General features: G+C 41.6%; 1 protein-coding gene across 20 annotated transcripts in view, besides 6 other annotated features; it reads left to right on the top strand.

Moving 5' to 3' along the window:
* The window catches only part of PAK1 (p21 (RAC1) activated kinase 1), a 207,993-nt gene that overhangs the window by 51,986 nt on the left and 135,173 nt on the right, over positions 1-20,834 (top strand). For 15 of the 20 annotated variants that reach the window (NM_001376304.1, NM_001376273.1, NM_001376268.1 and 12 more), the window contains exon 1: positions 3,930-4,472. The gene's annotated coding sequence lies outside the window, so the exon portion shown is untranslated. Of the gene's footprint in view, positions 1-3,354; positions 3,635-3,929; positions 4,616-20,834 lie in introns of those variants that run through there. The other 5 variants (XM_024448560.2, XM_047427054.1, XM_047427049.1 and 2 more) reach the window with 2 other exon arrangements.
* Positions 3,696-4,055: a silencer, noted in NCBI's record as "silent region_3799". NCBI's record gives its function as "represses an Ori minimal core promoter by ATAC-STARR-seq in GM12878 lymphoblastoid cells {active_cell/tissue: GM12878}" and the evidence as "EXISTENCE:reporter gene assay evidence [ECO:0000049][PMID:35858748]".
* Positions 3,696-4,822: a biological region, named in NCBI's record as "H3K27ac hESC enhancer GRCh37_chr11:77184247-77185163".
* Positions 3,906-4,822: an enhancer, noted in NCBI's record as "H3K27ac hESC enhancer chr11:77184247-77185163 (GRCh37/hg19 assembly coordinates)". NCBI's record gives its function as "activates a minimal SCP1, AML or CMV promoter by ChIP-STARR-seq in primed H9 embryonic stem cells {active_cell/tissue: H9 hESC(primed)}" and the evidence as "EXISTENCE:reporter gene assay evidence [ECO:0000049][PMID:30033119]".
* Positions 4,286-4,335: a silencer, noted in NCBI's record as "silent region_3798". NCBI's record gives its function as "represses an Ori minimal core promoter by ATAC-STARR-seq in GM12878 lymphoblastoid cells {active_cell/tissue: GM12878}" and the evidence as "EXISTENCE:reporter gene assay evidence [ECO:0000049][PMID:35858748]".
* Positions 4,356-4,665: a silencer, noted in NCBI's record as "silent region_3797". NCBI's record gives its function as "represses an Ori minimal core promoter by ATAC-STARR-seq in GM12878 lymphoblastoid cells {active_cell/tissue: GM12878}" and the evidence as "EXISTENCE:reporter gene assay evidence [ECO:0000049][PMID:35858748]".
* Positions 20,583-20,642: an enhancer, noted in NCBI's record as "active region_5306". NCBI's record gives its function as "activates an Ori minimal core promoter by ATAC-STARR-seq in GM12878 lymphoblastoid cells {active_cell/tissue: GM12878}" and the evidence as "EXISTENCE:reporter gene assay evidence [ECO:0000049][PMID:35858748]".

Raw genomic sequence — 20,834 nt, 5'->3', positions numbered from 1 at the left:
TGGTTCCTGCCTTGCACCTTTAGCTGCTGGGATAGGCTCTGGCCACTCTCAACCCTGAACTGGAAAAATTGGGTAAATAATGATCTTACTTGTTTATTTTTGAGACACGGTTTCACGCTGTTTCCTGGGCTGGAGTGCAGTGGCATGATCACGGCTCACTGCAGCCTCGACCTCCTAGGCTTAAGTGATCTTCTGCCTTGGTCTCCCAAAATGCTGGGATTACAGGCATGAATCACTGTGCCCAGCCTCTTGTTTTTTGTTTTGTTTTTGAAACAAGGTCTCACTCTGTCGCCCAGACTGAAGTGCAAAGGTGTGCGGTCATGGCTCACTGTGGCCTTGACCTCCGGGGCTTAAGTGATCCTCCCACCTTAGCCTCCTGGGTAGCTGGGACTATGGGACTATAGGGGTGTGCTGACATGCCTGGCTAATTTTTTGTATTTGGGTTTTTTTTTTTTTGTAGAGATGGTGTTTTGTCATGTTATCTTGCCTGGTCTCAAACTACTGGGCTCAAGCGATCTGCCCACCTTGGCCTCCCAAAGTGCTGGGATTACAGGCATGAGCCAAGGCACCTGGTCTGGCCTCTTTTTATTAATCTTTCTTAAATGTATGTATAGGCCACATTGATTTCAATGTTTGATATTAGAGGTGTTTTGGTCTTTATTTAGAAGTTTGATGATGTCTTGTGACCAGAAATATGCCACAGGAACTCAACTCTTATTTATATCAATTAGCCAGCCTATGGTAAAATTGGTTTTGTTATACATTGTTTTGCCTAAAGTTGCAGAACCCATTGATGGCGTTAAGTGAGGACTTACTGTATACACTTATCCTACTTATTTATTCCACTTCTAGCCCATCTCTGATTTCAGCTGCAGCTTTGGTGGACAGTTTCACTTCTCATCCTGCTAGCAATTCCTAGCATAGAGCAGTCACCTTTGATTAGAGATTGTATTAGTTTCTTATGGATGCTGTAACAAATTATCAAACACAAAGTGGGCTTAAAACAATACACATTTATTTTTATTTTTTTATTTTATTTTTTGAGATGGAGTTTCACTCTTGTCTCTAGGCTTAAGTGCAATGGCGCAATCTCGGCTCACAGCATCTTTACCTCCTGGATTCAACCGATTCTCCTGCCTCAGCTCCCGAGTAGCTGGGATTACAAGCATGTGCCACCACGCCCAGCTAATTTTGTATTTTTAGTAGAGATGGGGTTTCACCATGTTGGCCAGGCTGCTCTTGAACTCCTGACCTCAGGTGATACACCCGCCTCGGCCTCCCAAAGTGCTGGGATTACAGATGTGAGCCACTGTGCCTGGCCAACAATACACATTTATTATTTCACAGTTCTGTAGTTCAGAAGTCCTAAATGGATGTCAGTGGGCTAAAATTAAGGTATCATCAGGATACCATCTCTTCCTTTCCAGAGGCTCCAAGGGAGGATCCATTTTCTTGCCTTTTCCATTTTCCAGTCTGCTCCCAAAAGCTGGAGAGTCCCTTTCCCCAAATCCTCAATTTACTCACATCTGCAGAGTCCTTTTGTCATGGAAGGTAACATATTCATAGTTCCCAGGGATTGGAATGTGAACATTCCATTGGATGAGCCATTATTCTGCCTAGTGCAGAGATCACGAAAAGACAATCCAGATTAGAGTCAATTTACTGGGTTAGGATCCTGGGTTAAGTTACTTAACCCCTCTGTGCCTCAGTTCCCGCATCAATAAGATGGGTGAGGATAACAACAGTATCTACCGTAGAGGGTAGAGGTTTAAAGACAGTGTTTGTAAAGTGCTCAGAACAGTACCTGGCACATAGAAAGAACAATAGGAACATTTATTAAATACATTTTTTTTGAGACAGAGTTTTGCTCTTGTCACCCAGGCTGGAGTGTGGTGGTGCAATCACAGCTTCCTACAACCACCGCCTCCTGGGTTTAAGCAATTCTCCTGCCTCAGCCTCCTGAGTAGCTGGGATTACAGGTGCCTGCCACTACGCCCGGCTAATTTTTGTATTTTAGTAGAGATGGGGTTTCGCCATATTGGCCAGGCTGGTCTCAAACTTCTGACCTCAGGTGATCTGGCTGCCTTGGCCTCCCAAGTGCTGGGATTACAGGCGTGAGCCACCGCGCCTGGCCTTATTAAATATATTTTAACAACATATTGATACTTAGGTATATGTCAAGCACTGTTTTAGGTGCTGAGGATATGGAAAGGAATATGACTTGGAACTCAAGAAATTAGATACACAAATGCAGTTACTTCCATAAAAGGCATAGAAATACTATAGAATTACAGTTTTGTTAAGGCTTAGGGAAACTTTAGAAATATTAGTCAAATGAATATGAATATGAATATGAATGACATTTGAGCTCAGCTTTGTACAATGAATAGGTGTTGGCCAGTCAGCTAAGTAGGGAAGAGCTTGAAGACATGAAGAAATGTGTATTCAAATAACGTTAATATTTCAGTGTGCTTGGAGCAAAAAATAAATGATGTGAGACAAAGCTAGAAAGGCTAGTGTAAGCAGTCAGGTAATAAAGTGCCAAGTTCAGGAGTTTGAACTTTATCCTGAAAGCAATAAAATCCTTTCGGTGTTTAAACGGGAGGACATCATCAGATTTGTGCTTTTATAAGGCTACTCAGGTAACTAGTGAGAAAAATAGATTGAGTTTGAAGAGACTAAAGGTTGCTCCAGTTGTTCAGGTGGTGGTAGTAGAAGACGACACAGGCAAGGACTTGAAAAATATTTAGGAGAAGCTACAAGACTTGGTGTCCAACTTGATATGGATGTTGAGAGAGGAAGAACGGGGAGCTATTAGTATGTCTAGGTTCCTGGCTTAGGGGATTGTTGAATGGGTGGCCCATTCATTGAGAACGGAAAGGAACGTAAGAAGCAATTTTGGGGGGGAAATAATAATAATAGCCAACATTCTAAAGGGCTTGTTACTATTACCATGGTAAAACTGAGGCTTAGGAAGACCTAGTTAAGGTACTACTTATTATTACAGAAAAATTACGGCTTAGAAATGTCAAGGTCCTATCACTAATATTTGAATAGCTAGGATTTCAAGCAAGGCAACCTGATTCCGGACTCTTAGCCTTTCTAATGCTGTCTCAGTTTCGCACATGTTGAATCTGAGGTACGAAGAGTATGCAGGTAATGCTGCTCGGGAGGTATTGGGAAATACACAATCTGAGCTCAGGAGAAAGAAAGCTTTGGGTCGAAAGTACCCTCCACGGTAGGGGAAAAAACGTGAAAGGAAGCCCATTCTTTTCGTATGTCAGTTCACATTAGTTCAAACATCTCCGTTATAATTTCTTTGTCTTCCTCCCACCCCTGCCCCCTCTCCCACAGAAAGAAAACATAATACATGTCTGGCTGTGAGATCACACGACATCGGATAGTTTTCAAATTCAGCCCTTGACAACGAGCTCATAGATGCGGTGGTGCTTTGTTAACCTGAAAAGGACCCTCAGCGCCGGAAGTTAGCCGTCTTTCTCCATCCTGACTACTACAGTAGCCCTCCCAGAAATCGTCCCAAAATTGTCTGATAGAAAGGCTGCACGGAAACAACCCGCCACGGACAGCGGACCGAGAACAGTGACGCGACGCGATGACGTCACGCAGCAAGCGGGTGATTCCCCAGCCTCTGGCGTCACGCGCCGATGACGTAATCCCAGGCGTTCGCCCTCATGCGGGCCAGGGTTTGGCCTCGCTCCCACGGGTCGGTCAGGCCCTCCCCGCCCCCTCTCACCTGCGGGAGGCGGGGCGGGCACGGCTCCACCGGAGCCGCAGCCGCCGCCGCCGCGCCGGGGAGGGGGAGTGGGGGAGGGGGAGGGGGAGAAGGGGAAAGGGCAGAGGGGAGGAGGAGGCGGGAGGAGGAGGAGTAGGGGAGCCAGTGAACTAGGCGGTCAGGCCTGCCGGGCGGCGTACAATAGCGCGGCTGTGGGCGGGGGAGGCTGCCCTCCCGCGGCTGCAGCCGGAGCCGAAGGTGGTGGCTGCACAGTAGACGCCCCCTCACGGCTTCCCCCACACGCTCCCGCCCCCTCGCTCGCCCATCGCGCTTCCCTCACAGGCTCTGCAGTCCTCCCCCACAGACGCCTTCCCCCTTGGACTCTCATTCCCTTTTCCACGGAGCCCCGCGCTTTCGTGAGCCCCCTCGAGGAACCTGGTCTCCGCATCCAGTTACCACCTCCTGCCTCAGAGGCCATCTGAGCCCTTCGCACCTCGCCCCTCAGTCCCCCCTTCCCCCCCCGCCCGCGTCGCCTCGCTCCCTCCCGCCCCCCCATCATCCCTTCCCTCGCAGTTCCCCTGTCCTGAGGGGAGCCCCGCCACGGGCAGCGCGGCGGCGGCGGCAGGAGGGAGAAAGTGAAGCGGTAGCTCGCGCACACTCGCGCCCTCACTCCCGGCTAGGCGGCACCCACCGCCGGGAGGAGGAGGAGGAGCCGAGAGGAGCTGAGCGAGCGCGGAAGGTGAGAGCGGGCCTACCGCCCAGTACCCCTCGCGTCCCGGGCTGCCAGGGCTGGGGCGCGGGGGTGGGGACGGGTGGAGTGGGGGTCTGGGCCCATTTATTTCGCGTTGCGGGGCCGGGCGCCTGGGCGGGAGGAGGCGCCAGGTAAGGTGAGGCGGGCGGCGCCCCGCGAGGCCCGCTCCCGTCGGGCCAACAAAGGCCCCCTGTGCGCGTACCGGCGGGGTCGCGGGTCTCAGACGCCGGGCGATTCGAGAGACCTGGGAGAGGGAAGGGGCGGGGCGGGGCCAGGCCAGGCTGGAGCCGGGAGGCCACACGAGTACCGGTCCGGGACCGAGTCCGTCCCGAACTTCGCAGTCCTGCGGCGCTCACCCTGTCCCGCTACGAGGAGGCACAGCAAAGCGGCGCCCAGTTCCTTCTGCATGGAATAAATGACCCCTTCCAGGCTTGGACAGTCACCTTTAGGGTTCTACTCCCTGAAAAATAAGGGCTGGTAGGACTTGACTTACGCAGCCCCTCCCCCACCCCGGAATATTCTGTAACTTGGGAAGTGAAAAACAACCGGGGAAGGAGATTTATAGTTATTTTATGTTCATTATTACGTTTGAAAAGACATGATTGTTGTAGCCTTCGCTATCCTATTTCAGCAGTACACATTACTGGGAGTGTTTTGGAAGAATACTTGAGAAGTAGTGGGTGTGGCGTTGTGAGCAACGTCCTTGGTTTTTAAACCCCTTGGATAATTGTTCTACTGTTACAAAAACTGTGAACAGTGAAGGGAAGGGTTAGTTCCGTGGTTACTAATAAAAATTCAGATTCATTAGTCTTGACTTTAAGAATTGTTCCTGAGAACAATCTTTAATTTTGCCTCCTACATTTTTGGGTTCTCTTTCAACTCTGTCAGGAGAAAGTAGGAATTATCAGTACAGATACCTCATCTCTCTTACCCTGTGGCTTCATCTACTTCTTGTGTGACCTTGAGCAGGTCACTTCCAGCCTTAAAAGCTCCAGAAGTTTGGTTTTATGCCCCAAAACGGGCAAGTAGCAAGCACCGGACTCAGCTTTCAAGAGTCCACTGAAGAATTCCCACACTGTGAAGTCTTTGCTGGCCTCCATCCTGTCTCTCCTCTTACAGACAGAGCTGATTTCTTCCCATTGGCCCGGTGGGATTTCTACCACAGCACTTACAACATTTTGGTTCCTATTTGGAAAATTCTAAGTCAGGTGCATATAAAAACTCCCCACCTCAACTAGAAACTATGCCTTTCAAAAAGGGTTTTGGGAACATTGACCCTGAAAACTTCCCATACTTTCCCTGAAGCTTATCCATACTCTTTAACTACATGAGCTCATGGGTCTACCTTGGTAAATTTGCTTATTCAGTCAATTCGTTTATCCAACATTACTGGAGTTCGGAGAGCTACTATGTTTCAGGCCTCTTGCTAAGGCTATGGGGATTCAGTCTATTAAGATATTCCCTGTCTTCAAAGAGCTCAAAGTCTAATGGGTGAGGTAGACAAGTAAACAATGAAGGTCTGCCCTAATCTCTGGGGGACTCCAGTTGTACAGGTAGTAGTGTGCAATAATTGAGGCTGCTGGACCTGTTTTACAAGTCTTCTCTTGGCCAAAGTGAGTCCTGCAGGGAAGGTGACCTGCCTCATCCATAACAGGGCATTTGGTAAAAAGCTTGTTCAGTTCAATTCAATATACATTTACTAAGCACATGTTTTGAGTCCCTGTGCTAGGTTTGAAGGAAGCAGTGCCTCAAAGGAAGGTACTGTGCATCCAGAAAGATTTCTGTAAAACAAAACCTTACCACATCAGCGCCCCCTACCCCTGACTCTTCATATTCTGAAGATAAATTTCAGAGTAACATGGAATAAAAAGCTCTCAGGGATCAGACCACTGCCTGCCTTTGCAGTCTCACTTTCTGTGGCTCCCCTGCCACTCTCATCTTCACTCTTGCATGTTCTGTTTTCTTCCTGGAATGCTTCCCTTCCACCCCTTACCTGCCTGTGGAGATGACCTTGTTGGGCCTCTGGGATGCAGTCCCTTAGTCTCTCCTTTTCCTGCATAGAATGAGTTGCTCTTCCATCCTCTGGCTCATGTACATACCACTTTTATGGCCTTCTGTAGCGCTCTGTTGCAATTACTTGAGTTTGTGCCTGTCTTTTTTTGGTAGCCTGTGAATTTCTTTTCTTTAATAAGCCCTTTAAATGATTCTGATGCTTGCTAAAGTTTGAGAACCACTGGGTTAAAAGATCTGCTCTTAATAAAAACCAGCACCCTGCCAGCTCCTGCTGTCCCGTTTTTCTTCCGTAGCACTTAACTGCGTGACATCCCATCCCATCCCATCCCATCCCTCTCTTGCCAATAGAATGAAAGCTTCCTGAGACTGGGAAGTTTTGTCAGTTTGGTCATTGCTTTAATCCTAGTGCCTAGAATAGTGACTGCATATAGCAGGCACTCAAGTATTTGTTGAATGAATAATGTAAGATGATTTAATTCTATGTATTGCCAGCTGCGACATTGGGGTTTTACTCAAGAACCGTTCTCAGAATGAATAGGAATCATGGTCCAATGTGCAAATCCAAGGGGATCCTAACATTTTTGGGGGATTCATTTTAGGTTGAGCTTTTCCCTTTATGTGTCTCCAACCAAAGCCTGCAAGAATTTTTAGCCTAGTCTTTTGTTCGTTTGTTTGTTTTAACCACCACCTGAAAACTGCTGTTGCAATATTCCAAGCCAGGATTGTTTCTTTTGAATTTGCAAGTTGGTTTTGCAAGTCTAAATAAGCACTCTTAACTTTTGAGTCTTTTAACTTAAAACTGTCTCTTCCTGGTCTCCTGTGGTTTTTGTCTTTCTCTGGTGATACTTAAAGCTATATAGGGCCTGTTTGACTCCACACAAAGGTTTCTCTTCCTTGTCAAGCTCTTAAAATGCTTTGTTTCTTTCACTTTCTTATTAGCCCTAAGATACCATGCCCAGTTTTCTCCTTTCCTAGCTTCCTTCTGGGAGAGTGGCTTCAATTATTCATCCGTTTACTATAAAATTATGAGTCCTTCTCCACCATGTGCCAGACCCTGTGCTGGGCAGGATGTTCAGCTATATACAAGAGTGCAGCCCAAGTCTTTAAGGAGCTAGAGATAATATGACATGATAAGTGCTGAAATGAAGAGATGAAATAGAGGGATGAAAAAAGGTGGTATATGATCATAAAGGGGGGGAGAAAGCTGCCTTTCTATTTGTTTCCCTCAGTTTAGGAATAATTTGTCAAACAAGCATCATTTTGACAGGCAGACTTTTAAAAAATTTTAAGAGGTCATGGGCTTTGTTGGGGAAAACTAAAACAAAAATCAAGGTGGAATCAGCAGTTGCCAATTTGAGACATTAATTCTGTTGTTGCTGGTTTTAATGAATTTTCTGATCCCTCTCCATGTTATTTTTCTAAATAATAACCAGAAAGTGGGAGAAAAATATTTCTTTTTGGCATAGTAAAGAGACAAGTTTAAGGTTATCAAAAGAATACATCTCACTACAGTTTATTGTTTATTTTTGAAAAGCGATAAACAATATGCATCTAAAAACGAGGCTTTTGACTGTTTATGATAAAGAAATGATAAATGTTTGGAGTGATGAATATGCTAATTATCCTGATTTGATTATTACGAATTATATACATCTCAAAATATCATAAATATGTACAATTATTACATATCAACTAAAAATAAAAGGAAAAATGCATTGATTCAAAATTAATAGTCAGTATATTCAAACTTGAAAATAAAAAATTTAAAAACATTCTCCCACACCAGTGTTTGCTCCTTCTGGGTCATTTTCTATGCCCATTATTAAAAAAAAAAAAAAAGTCTCTTCACAGATGTTTTAATTTCTAAGGGGTAATGTTGTAATTTGTAGTGGGTGAAAATGAAACCCTGGAAAAGTTAGGAGACCTTCTTTAGTGTCTATGTTACTGCATGACCTTGTAGAAGTAATTTTTATCTCTGTGTTTTGTCCCAACTGTAAAATGGGGATAGTAATAGTTGCTACGACTAGTTTACAGGATCATGAAGCAATTAAAATAATGACTATAAAGGAATCTTTGAAAAGTATAATTTGCTTGTTAGTTGTTAGGTGGTGGTAAGCTTACTAAAAATGGCTTATGTTACTGAATACCTGTTCTGTACCAGGCCCTATATGAGATGTTTAACATGTTCTTTTTAACCCTCAGAATAACCTTATGAGATGATTGCTGGTATCTCTGTATCATAGGTGAGGAAACCTGAGAGTCATACTAGTAAAGGGAGCTTATTTAAGGTTTTGCTGCAAGTAAGTGGCAGACCAACAATTCTAGTCCATGTGCACCTGACTCCAGCAGCTATGTGCTATTTTCAGTACAGAGGCTGCTTTTAATGTTTCTGCACAGAGGATATAGGAATGTTTTGCAAGTAAATATATTGCAGTGAGAGTTAAAGTTTCCATTTGGTATGTTTTTTTTGTGTGTGTATTAGAAGGCTTGGTGAAGACAGATTTACATTCGTTTACATTTATCATTCATACAGGAAAAATAACATCTTTCCTGGATGTTATTTTGTTCAATCTTCGTAACAGCCCTATGAGATAGGTATTCCCATTTTACGAGTTAGCAGGCTGAGGATCATATTAATAGAAGTCTTGGCTTGCTCAGAGGCACATCATTAATGAATGCCTGAATATTGATTTTAAACCACATTTTAAAATTCTAAGTGTAGTACTTTACTTTGCCACTATAACATATTGCCTTTTAAACTCTATCAAACTAAATTTTGGGGCACTAGACACATTCTTTTAAATTGGTTCCTAATCTCTTTAGCTTCTTCTCCCTAAGAAAACCCTGACTGAAGTCCACAGTTTGAACTAGAAAGGATAATTGCTGATAAAACTCTATGTCAGATGGTCATGATGTTGCAGACTTAGAAGATAATACCTCTTTACTGAAGCTGCCAGATCAGGCTTTATCCAGTATTTGGAATCACTTGTGCCTGAATATTTCCCTGTGCCATCGTAAATTTATTAACTTAATGTGCTACATTTTTCTACCCTTTTTGTAAGCCTTTTCTTTCATGAATATCTTCCTCTTCTCTCCCATTCTTTTAGTTTTTGAGATGGGGAAAGTCATGTATATGCTAGGCTTCTCCGGATTATCCCTTCTTGAGGAATAGTGTAGTAGTAAGTCTAGAAAGAACCAGAGGTTCATTCATCCCTCATGAGTTTTCGTGGTATTGATTGACTGTAGAATTCATCTAATTCTTAAGTCCATTATGTCTTGGCTTTTGTTCCTGGAGTCAGAGTTAGGTAATTTGCATGCAGGATTGGGAAATCCATTCTTGTTTATGGGCTGCTTTCTTTTATTACTTTTCTACTTCCAGCCTTCTCCAATATCCCTTTCCCTTTCAGACTGTTAAGTACTAACTGAGGCTGGCAAGAGCATTTTCTAATTTATAGAATCTGCCTTTTGAATCTTTTGGGATGGCAAATGACAATGACAGTATATGCATGGCTTCCACCCTCATCTGCCTGCCTATATCTTTAAGGTCCAGCTTTCCTTATTTCCTCCTGGATTCCCACAAAGCTAAGATTGATGTCTTCCTCACTGGTGGAACCCTTGATTTGTGTATTACTGCACTTACCAAGGGAGGGTTTAAGGAAGAGCACAAAATTTGAAGTTAGACAAAGAGCTACTTGGACACTTATTTAAATCTCTATTTGTTCATTTGAAAGAAATAATACCTAACTTACAGAATTCTTGTGAAGATTAATAATATATGTAAAAGTGAATTGTAAGATACTGAGCTATATAGATGTTAGGTAGAGTAGTTTGTAATTTTATGACTATGATTGTGTGTAGCAGTGGTTTTAATTTCGGCTATGCACTTGAATTACTTGTGAAGATGTAAAGAGTTGCCTTGGCATCTCTATTTTGAAAGGTTTATAGGTGATTCTGATATGCAAAGTTGAGAAGCACTGCCTTATATTAACAATGTTTTGCATAAATGTCTTATGTAAGTATTATATGAAAAGTAATATTTTATTGCCATTTAAAGTTCATTCATTTGCTAAATACATATTATGCATCAGGCATTGTCATAGGTTCTGAATAAACAGATGAATCATAGCCTCTACCCTTGGGTTTATAGTTTCCGGGAGAAACAGACATGTGCATAGACAATTACACTACATTGAGACAAAAAATGACAAAAATATGGAGATAAGTGCAAGTGCCATGTGAACACAGAGGAAGGGCATCTGCTGCACTTGAAATGGGGGTGGCCTGGCAAGCATTCTTAAAGGAGGTGACATCTAAGATGGGTTCTGAAAAATGATCAGGGGTTAACGAAGCACAGTCAGGGAGGGGTGAGAAGAAAGGGGAGATGATGGACCCTCTTGAAAGAGAGAGCAATATGTGAGCAGAAGATTTGAGAGCCTGTTTGGGGAGCCCTGTGTAGTTTAGTATGCTTAGAAGATAGGGTGTAAAGTGGGGAGGCGTGAGAGCAGAGAGGAGGCAGGGCCCAGATGATGAAGGGCCTTTTGTATAATGTACAAAATACTTTTACTGATATTATCTGACTTTATTCTTTGGACAATCCCCTGGGTTAGCTAGGACAGGTGTTGTTTTATATTCATTTGATAGAAGAAAACACAAAGAGGTTAATTGACTTGCTGAGGCTATACAGCACAGCTAAGATCTGAAGCCAGGTTCTTATGATTGTTTAGTTCATCATGCTTTTTCTATTACACCATAGCCGTCTTAGACTTTTGCGGTGTGGTAGGGAATCAGGTAAGCTCTGTGGATATATGCACAACAATTTGGAAGCTGTAATGTGCTAGACTGATGTTGGCTAACTCATTTTACAGATGAGGAAATTTAGGAGCAGAGACATCAAGCTGTCATTTGAAGACTTTTTTTTTTTTTTGAGATGGAGTCTTGCTCTGTCGCCCAGGCTGGAGTGCAGTGATGCGATGTCGGCTCACCGCAAGCTCTGCCTCCCGGGTTCACGCCATTCCCCTGCCTCAGCCTCCCAAGTAGCTGGGACCACAGGTGCGTGCCACCATGCCCGGCTAATTTTTTGTATTTTTAGTAGAGACAGGGTTTCACCGTGTTAGCCAGGATGGTCTCAATCTCCTGACCTTGTGATCTGCCCGCTTCTGCCTCCCAAAGTGCTGGGATTACAGGCGTGAGCCACCTCGCCCGGCCTTGAAGACATTTTTAAAAATTATTACTGTGTAACCACAGCAAGTCACTTAACCGTCCTGAGACTCAGTTTTCCTTAGCTGTCATATAAATGTGTTGAATTTGATGCCAACTTCTTTGCTTGAATATTTCGACAGTGATTCTTAACCTTCTCACCTACTCCCTGCCCTCACCCTTTCTCTGTGATACACTGGGATGTAGTCCATCAGTAACAGTATTTCACTATGGAAATAGTTCCCAATGGGCTACAGGAACAAAATGTAAATTGCCAGTTTTGGGGATGGGTAAAGAGGGACTTGGTATAGTTGGAGGGGCTCTTGGTTCTCCAATTACCTGTTAGAGAATTACTATTAATATTTTATTTATTTATTTTTTTGAGACAGGGTCTTGCTCTGTCATCCAGGTTGGAGTACAGTAGCTCCATCATAGCTCACTGCAGTGCTGCCCTCCCGGGCTCAAGCAATCGTCTCACTTTAGTCTCCGAGTAGCTGGGACCACAGGGGCATGCTACTAAGCCCAGCTAATTTTTGTATTTTTTGTAGAGACAGGGTTTTGCCGTGTTGCCCAGGCTGGACTCAAGTGAACTGCCCGCCTCAGCCTCCCAACGTGCTGGAATTACAGGCATGAGCCACTTTGCCCGGCCAAGAATTACTATTTTATAACATTCCCTCCCACTTATTTTCTCATATGGAATTATCTCACCAGTCCAGAGTCTGAGATTTTTTTGGTATCCAGGATAGATTTTGCTTAATTTAATAAATTACATATGTAATTTGTAAAGTAACTTAAAAAAAAATAAAGAACCAGGTGAGCAAAATGAGAAAGCCCATTGTGATAGACTTGAAAAGTCCAAGTTTCCTGGACTTTCTAGAGATTATATATAGGATTATATATATAATTTTTGTGCTTTACTGTTTTCAAAACCCTTTTATATAGAGTCTCATTTAACTTAATTCTGTTCTTTAGCCATCATATTTTTATAAATGAACAGAAGTTAAGTGGCATGATTATGTAGCTGGGAAGTTACAAACTGGAATCTTTAATTCATATTTTCTGTCTCCAAATCTGGTCACCTGTTCCTGATCATTTGGGTGCTGCCCTGACCAGTGGCACTTTTTAAAAAATTGTAGGTTCCTAGGAGAATGGTAAAATATATTTATAGTTCCCTCTAACTCTTTCAAAAAATCGTTTTTTTACTATCCATTGCCACTTGCCGGATAATTGACTTAGTTGACTATGTGGTAAAGGTTCCAGGACAGTTAGGAATGGCTGCTGAGTATATTCTTCACACACACACAGACACACACACAGACACACACACACACACACACACACTCTTTCATGTATGTACCAATCCAATACAGCTGGTCCCTGACTTACAGGGGTTCAACTTAATGATTTTTCGACTTTATGATGGTGTAAAAGCAATATGCATTCAGTAGAAACCATACTTGGAATACCCATCCAATCACTTTCAGTGCAGTATTGAATAAATTACATGAGATATTCATCACTTTATTAAAAAATAGACTCTGTGTTAGATGATTTTGCATAACTGTAGGTGAACGTAAGTGTTCTGAGTATGTTTAAGGTTGGGTAGGCTGAGCTACGATGTTTGGTATGTTAGGTGTATTAAATGCATTTTTGACTTAAAGTATTTCAGTGTAAGTTGGGTTTATCAGGTCGTAACCTAATCATAAGTCAAGGAGCATCTGTACAGCTCTATAGTGCTTCTATTTATTCCTTAATTAGACTACACATATTTATTGATTTCTTCCTGTGTGCCAAGCATTGTACTTAGTACTAAGGATACACTCATAAATAATACAGACATGGTCCTTGTCCTTGCTCTTACAAAGATTACATTCCAGAGGGTAATACAGAGAAAAGTAAGTAGATATACAAGTGGACAGTTGCAGATTTTGATAAGTCCTACAAAAGAGATAAAGGACTAATGTAGAGAATTTTGGAGTGATAAGGAAAAGACCTCATTGAGGAAATGATGCTTTTAAACTGAGATGTGCATGATAAATAGATTTTAGTCATGCAGAACACTGAGGGGGAAAAAGCATGTCAGGCAGAGGGAACATTTTAAATGCACAAAGGCCCTGAGAGTAGGTAAAAGTTTAGAGATGTGCTGCTCAATATGGTAGCTACTTAGCCAGTGTGGCTGTTGAGCACACTGACTGATTCACATAGAGATGCACTGTAAGTGTAAATAAAATACATACCAGAGTTTGAAGACAATACTGAAAAAATAATGTAAAATAACTCATTAACTTTTTATATTGGTTATATGTTGAATTGTTAATATTTTGAATATATTGGGTTAAATGTATTTTAAAATTAATTTCACCTCTTTACAAACTTTAAAATATGGCTACTAGAAAATTTGAGATTACATATGTGGCTTTTCTTTAAGGCTAACCGTATCTTTCAGTTGGATAATGCTGGTTTACCTCAACATAGAGGAACTAAAAAAAATTATGGCTGTTGTATAGGAAGCAAGAGTAAATGGTATGAGATGAAGTTGGAGTGGGAGGAAGAGACCTTTCAAAACGCTACCCTGTGTAATATCCTAGTTAATCCGAAGGGACTGAGAGGGGATTATCAAGTCTGATTTTATAGATGGAGACAGTAATTGCCAAAGTCTCTCTTCTCCTCTCTAGAGTGCTAGAATGAGGAGATGAACAAGCACTTTTAGCATAGTATCTTGGGAGTAGAATGCTCTATTTCATTGTTAGCTAAAACAAACAAGTAAATAAATATTGATGAAGAATAAATTGATTAATACAAGTTTCCAAGTGGTCTTGAGACTGCCTCTGGCTATCTGTGGTAGGTGGACCCTCTCAAAGACTGAATTTTTCATAAAAATTTTCCTGTAGGCTGACTCTTCTTGAAACTGTTTCATTTTATACTATATTTCTTTAATTTTATGTACGTTAAAAATTTTTTTTAAATAAAACATTGGCAGGGGAGTATGTGCAGTGAACACCCATATACCCATTATTTAGATTCTGTGGTATTTTGCTGTGTTTTCTTTATCGCATGTCTGTGTATCCCTTGATCCATTCATTAACCTGTCTTATTTTGAAGCATTTCAAAATAAGTTGCAGATATCAGTACACCCGTAAACACTTTAGCATTCATATCATTATTTGCTTACATGAAACTATACTCTTACTTGATACTCTGTGGCATTATTTGATGAATATCTGTCTACCCTACTAGACCCTAAGTTCCAGAGAATCATTTCTCTTTAAGGCTTGGCACCTTCAAGAGAATGAGTTTTAACATAGTACCCTTTTTCCTAAAAGCCCCCCCACCCCACCCCCACCCACCTTTTTTTTTTTTTTCTCACTGTTGTATCCCCCAGTGCCTAACCTATAGTAGGCACTTTGATTGAGTGAGTGAAAGTGGAGCCAGCATTCAAACTGTGGTCCACATGACTTCTTTTTTTTTTTTTGAGACACATGACTTTTTTTTTTTTTTGGAGATGGAGGGTCGCTCTGTTGCCCAGGCTGGAGTGCAGTGGCACGGTCTCGGCTCACTGCAACCTCTTCCTTCCGGATTTAAGCAATTCTCCTGCCTCAGCCTCCCAAGTAGCTGGGATTATAGGTGCAAGGCACCATGCCTGGCTAATTTTGGTGTTTTTAGTAGAGATAGGGTTTCACCATGTTGGCCAGGCTGGTCTCAGACACCTGACCTCAAGTGATCTGCCAGCCTTGGGCTCCCAAAGTGCTGGGATTACATGTGTGAGACACTGTGCCTGGCCCACATGACTTCTTTACTAAGAACTGTTATTTGATTTTCTTAAGTTCAAAGAACATAAAAAAAAAAATCCTTTCAATGTCTGGTATTAGGAGAAGAGAGGAGAGAAGAAACCTTACTGTGCTAAATGTGTAGCTGCCCAGTGCAAATGCCTCTGACCTGAGTAAAAGTTGAAAGTATGTCCTGATGCTATCTAAGGATGCGGAACATTTTTTTTTTTTTTGAGACGGAGTCTCACTCTGTTGCCCAGGCTGGAGTGCAGTGGAGCAATCTCGGCTCACTGCAAGCTCCGCCTCCCGGGTTCACGCCATTCTCCTGCCTCAGCCTCCCCAGTAGCTGGGACTACAGGTGCCCGCCACCACGCCTGGCTAATTTTTTTTTTTGTATTTTTAGTAGAGAAGGGGTTTCACCGTGTTAGCCAGGATGGTCTCGATCTCCTGACCTTGTGATCCACCCGCTTCGGCCTCCCAAAGTGCTGGGATTACAGGCGTGAGCCACAGCGCCCGGCGAAAAGATGTGGAAAATTCTTAAAGCTGATCAGCAGCTACTTTGCTACTCTGGATCTTTCTTCATTTCCTTTAAGCTGAGGAATTGCATGTTACTGAAAAATGGCATTGGACTGAGACCCTTGAAGGCCTATTTGTCTTCTAGTGGGTCAGCTCTTTTTAGTATTATCGAAGGCAATGTTTCAAAATTCGCAGTTTTCTTTTGGATTAGTATGGGTTTCTTTAAAGTGCCACACTATTCTAATAAAGCTTAACATGAATAATGTGACTTTGTTCCATTAAAAATAACAGGGCTTTGTTTCACAAACTTTTGAATCAATTTAAAATTTAGTTATGATGCCATCCTGACAACCCTTTTCTGTTTCCTTTTTTGGTGTATGTAAACATACATAAACATACATGTAGTTGTAATCATAATGTAGACCTAAGTTTGTTGTTTGCCCTTTTTTCTTGACTTATACACATTCCCGCATGTTACTCTTTAGTCTTCATTGTAAAATTTAAGATGATGTTCCATAATTTACCCGAAACTATTGTGTCAGTCAATGTTCTACTGGAGAAACAGAACCAGTAGAATAATTCTTTCTTAGAGAAACTTCAGTTTTGCTCTTAAAGCCTTTCAACTGATTAGATGAAGTCCATCCAGATTATGGAGGATAATATTCTTTACTTAACGTCAGCTGATTGTAGATGTTAACCACATCTGCAAAATACCTTCCCAGCAACATCTACATTAATGTTTAATTGAATAACTGGGGACTATAGCCTAGCCAAGTTGACACATAAAACTATCAGGTGTAGGTTTTTAGGTTTTTCTTTTCCTATTATAAATTATACTGTAATTTTACCCAATAGCACTGCATATAGCTTTCTCCTTTCAAAGATTACTTCTTTAGAATAAATTTCTATAGGTGGGATTACTGGATCAAAGGGTAGAAGACCTAATGGGCTCTTGACAGGATTTGACATTTGCAAACTGAAAAAACCACTACAGCCTTTCTTTTGATGATTTCTTCAGGAATTGGCCTATTCAACTGACTCATTTACCTTTTCCACAAGCCTAGTTTTCTGCCTGTGTTTTCTATCTCTGGAAATAATTGCATGCTTTTCCTCAGAATTGTCTTCAGTTTTACTCTTATTCTCCTTCTGCCACTTTTTTTCTGCCCTTTACCTCTCTGCCCCCACCCTCCAGACTTTGCCTCATATATCACAGATGAAATAGAAGCTTCATATTCCTACTTAGAATTTACTTGGATTTGTACCCATTCCTTCCTTTGCCCCTTCTTTTACAATGAAAGAAGTCATTCTGTTCTCTTGCCTCATCTCTTCTTCGCTTGCTCCTCCACATGTTTTTAGATTGTTTCCCATGGTCCCATTTTAGAAATCTCGCTTTATGGCATCTTTAAATTTTGCCTTCTACTGAGTTACCCTAAGCATCATTCAAACATTCTACTTAAAGGAAAATAATTTTCCTTTTCTTCACCAAAAAAAAAAAGTGCTCCTGGGATCCCATGTCAGCTTCTAGATAAACCCTATCTCTGCTTTCCTTCAAAGCTAGTCTTTTTAAAATAGCTATTTACAACTTCTACTTCGAGTACCTTACCTCCTATTTATTCTGCAGCCTACTCCCCTCCTGTCTCCACAACCTCATCATAACTGCTCTTGCTAAGGCCATTAATGATGTTCATGGTGCCAAACTTAACTTTAAAAAAAAAAAAAAAAAAGCAAACAAAAAACCTTATAGCCACAGATGTACCCAATAATCCTGTACCTCAATGGCTGGCTGGCTGGCTGACTCCCTCCCTCCCTTCCTCCCTTCCTTCTTTTTTTTCTTTCCTTCTTTCTTTTTCTCTCTCCCTTTTTCCTTTTCATCCCTTTTTTTTTTTTTCTATTCTACAGAGTTTGAGAAAGTCTGTCTCTCCTCAGGGCCTTCACACCTGTTCTTTACCCCTGGTTTGCTGTTCGCAATTCTGGCTTCTCCTTCTCATTCAGTAAACAAATACTCATTGTCTACTGTAAACCAGGACCTTTCTAATCTAAAGAAGAGCCCCACGCCGGGCGCGGTGGCTCACGCCTGTAATCCCAGCACTTTGGGAGGCCTAGGCAGGCGGATCACGAGGTCAGGAGATCGAGACCATCCTGGCTAACACGGTGAAACCCCGTCTCTACTAAAAACACAAAAAATTAGCCAGGCGCGGTGGCGGGCGCCTGTAGTCCCAGCTGCTCGCGGGGGTGGCTCAGGCAGGAGAATGGCGTGAACCCGGGAGGCGGAGCTTGCAGTGAGCTGAGATCGCGCCACTGCAGTCCGGCCTGGGTGAAAGAGCGAGACTCCGTCTCAAAAAAAAAAAAAAAAAAAAGAAGAAGAAGAGCCCCTCTGTTTTCCTCTTACAGCACTTTGTTATTTTCTGCGATGGCATTTATAATGATTTGTGATTCTGTATTTATTTGACTCTTGGTTATGTCTAGACTTTCAACTCCATGGAGTCAAAGGTCATGTCTTTTGGTCACCATTGTACCTCATCACTTAGTACAATGCTTGGAACACAGTGAGGCTTGTAAATATTTGCAGAATGAATAAGCTCTTGCTATCAGTCCAATGGATTATCAAGCCTTGTTAGTTTTATCTCTGTAGTTTTTTTTACCAGTTTATTTTTATTTCTCTATCCTTTCTGCTCTGATTTAGACTGTAATCATCTCTTCCCTTGACTTTTAGTAACCTATTAACTAGTGTCGTGGCAACCAGTCTTTGTGCCCTCTTATTTATTCATTATTCTGCCTGGAGTAATTTTTCTGATCCTGTCACTGTTCTTCCCAAAAGCCATCAGTGTGTCTCCATTGTTTATAGGATAATATGTAAATTAGTTATTCAGGGAACTTAATAATTTGACCTCACCTACCTCTTCAGCATCATCTCTTCTAACCCTACTCTATCTCTCTAAATAGACAGTTTCAGTTTCATTCCATTTCATATCATATTACCCTGTTCCCTCAGCCTGGAATTCTGTTTTCCTCTATGCTTTTAAAACTCTTTATTCCTCAAGATGCAACTTGGATGCCAGTTCTTCCATGTAGGCTTCCCCAGTTTTCATCCTCCCATTTATGATTTTAAGTTCCTAGAGGGTAGTACTTTGTTTTGTTCTTTGCTGTATCTTCAGTATCTTGATCAGTGCCTGGCATGTAGTAGGCTCTTAATACATATTTGTTGAAAGACTGAATAAAATAATTTACTTTTGCACTCCCTCGACATATATTCATCAAACTTTCTTGAATTTTCGTAGTACTCTCTCCGTCCTTTGCACTATAATTAGTATTGAAGTTCATTTGTTATCTATAGGGACTTATAAAATTAGCCCCCACTCAAACATTCCTCCCTGCTCACCAGTAAGGTCTGTACATTCACCCCTCTTTGTCAGTAAGTGCTTTTCTAATGGTAGGATTATTAACATTGAACAATGTAATGCAAGTGGATTCTAAAATGAATGTTGAAAAAATTTAGGAAGTTGAAATAAGGCAATATTGGATAATGGCCTGAATCACACGCACAAAAATCACTGACAAATGAGGATTAGGTAAATTTAGACCAATTTAAAATTGAAGGGAGAATTAATGTGGGTAATGACATAACAGGACATTCGGAGGACAATGATTTGAGTAACAAAGGATTAAAAGAGACCCTTGGGAAAAATTGATGAAGCTCTTGAATATTTTTATAAAATTGATCCTCTTATCGATATGTTTTGAAAGCCAAATGTGAAGTGACGGATGTTCTTTGTTCTAAGAATTAACTTTGTGGGCAATATAACAAGTTTTATTAAATTAGGAATTATAAACATTTTAAAATGTTTGTCTTGATAAATTAAAGGCCCCATCAACATTTTAAAAAAATTTACTAAGAAATTTTGGTCCCTTGTCAGTTAACTTTAAGTGGTATTTTTGGATAGTAGTTATCCTCACATAACAAGAATCCCCTCTATGTATGCTTATTCCTCCATTAGATTTAGTTCCCTGAGATTGGGATTGTGTTTTTTAAATTATATTCCTATGATGGCTACCTCAGAGTCTGGTACATCAGAGATGCCTAATAAATGCATAGAGATAAGAAGTGAATAATAATTGAAGGGACTTGGTAAGGGTCCTTGAAAGGTCCTGTCTGGTACAGAGCTTATACAGCAGGTATATGGTAGCATTTGACTGTCATGCTTTGTTAAGACCAAAAGGAAAACCTGTCTTATTCTTCCTTTTCCCAGCTCCTGCCTAGTGTGTATTTTAATATTCAGAATCTGTTCTCTGCCTCAGTAGCTGTTATTCTCATTGTAATTCTTCCTGGAGATTGAGATGGAAATGAGAAAGGCTTTGGGCTGCCGACTGGGTGTCCACATTCATGAGAACTTAGAAATGAAGAGGGACCAAATGCCATGCCTGACCTAGACAGCTTCAGGTCAGCCAATTGTTGCTTTCCTGCCTCTCCCTTTGTTCTCTGTGCCTCTAGCCTCCTATCTGCTGGAGGTTTGTGCTACAGCTGTTTATGCCAATTAATGTAATGCTAATGCGCCCCTTAATGAACCCATGGAAGCACACGGTCCCAGCCAGTGAATAAGAACTGCAGAGCCGCAGCCTTCAAAGCACCTTTTTACTAACAATTGGACCAGGCACCTGAATATCTTTTCACATTGTTTTTGAAACCATGGAAACAGAAGTTGAACACGACCTTAGTTTTGGAAGTCTAACAGCTCACTTTATAGAATAAGGAAAAATAATGACAGAGATGATGAAGTTCATGCCCAATTAATAATTCCAAACCTCACATTTCAACAAGGCTGTAACATGTAAATATAATTTTCTCTTCTCTGTGTATTGT

The sequence above is a fragment of the Homo sapiens genome, chromosome 11 (assembly GCF_000001405.40).
Source record: "Homo sapiens chromosome 11, GRCh38.p14 Primary Assembly".
Taxonomy (NCBI): Eukaryota; Metazoa; Chordata; class Mammalia; order Primates; family Hominidae; genus Homo; species Homo sapiens.
The sequence above is the reverse complement of the archived record's forward strand: the minus strand, read 5'-3'. Positions and strand labels throughout refer to the sequence as shown.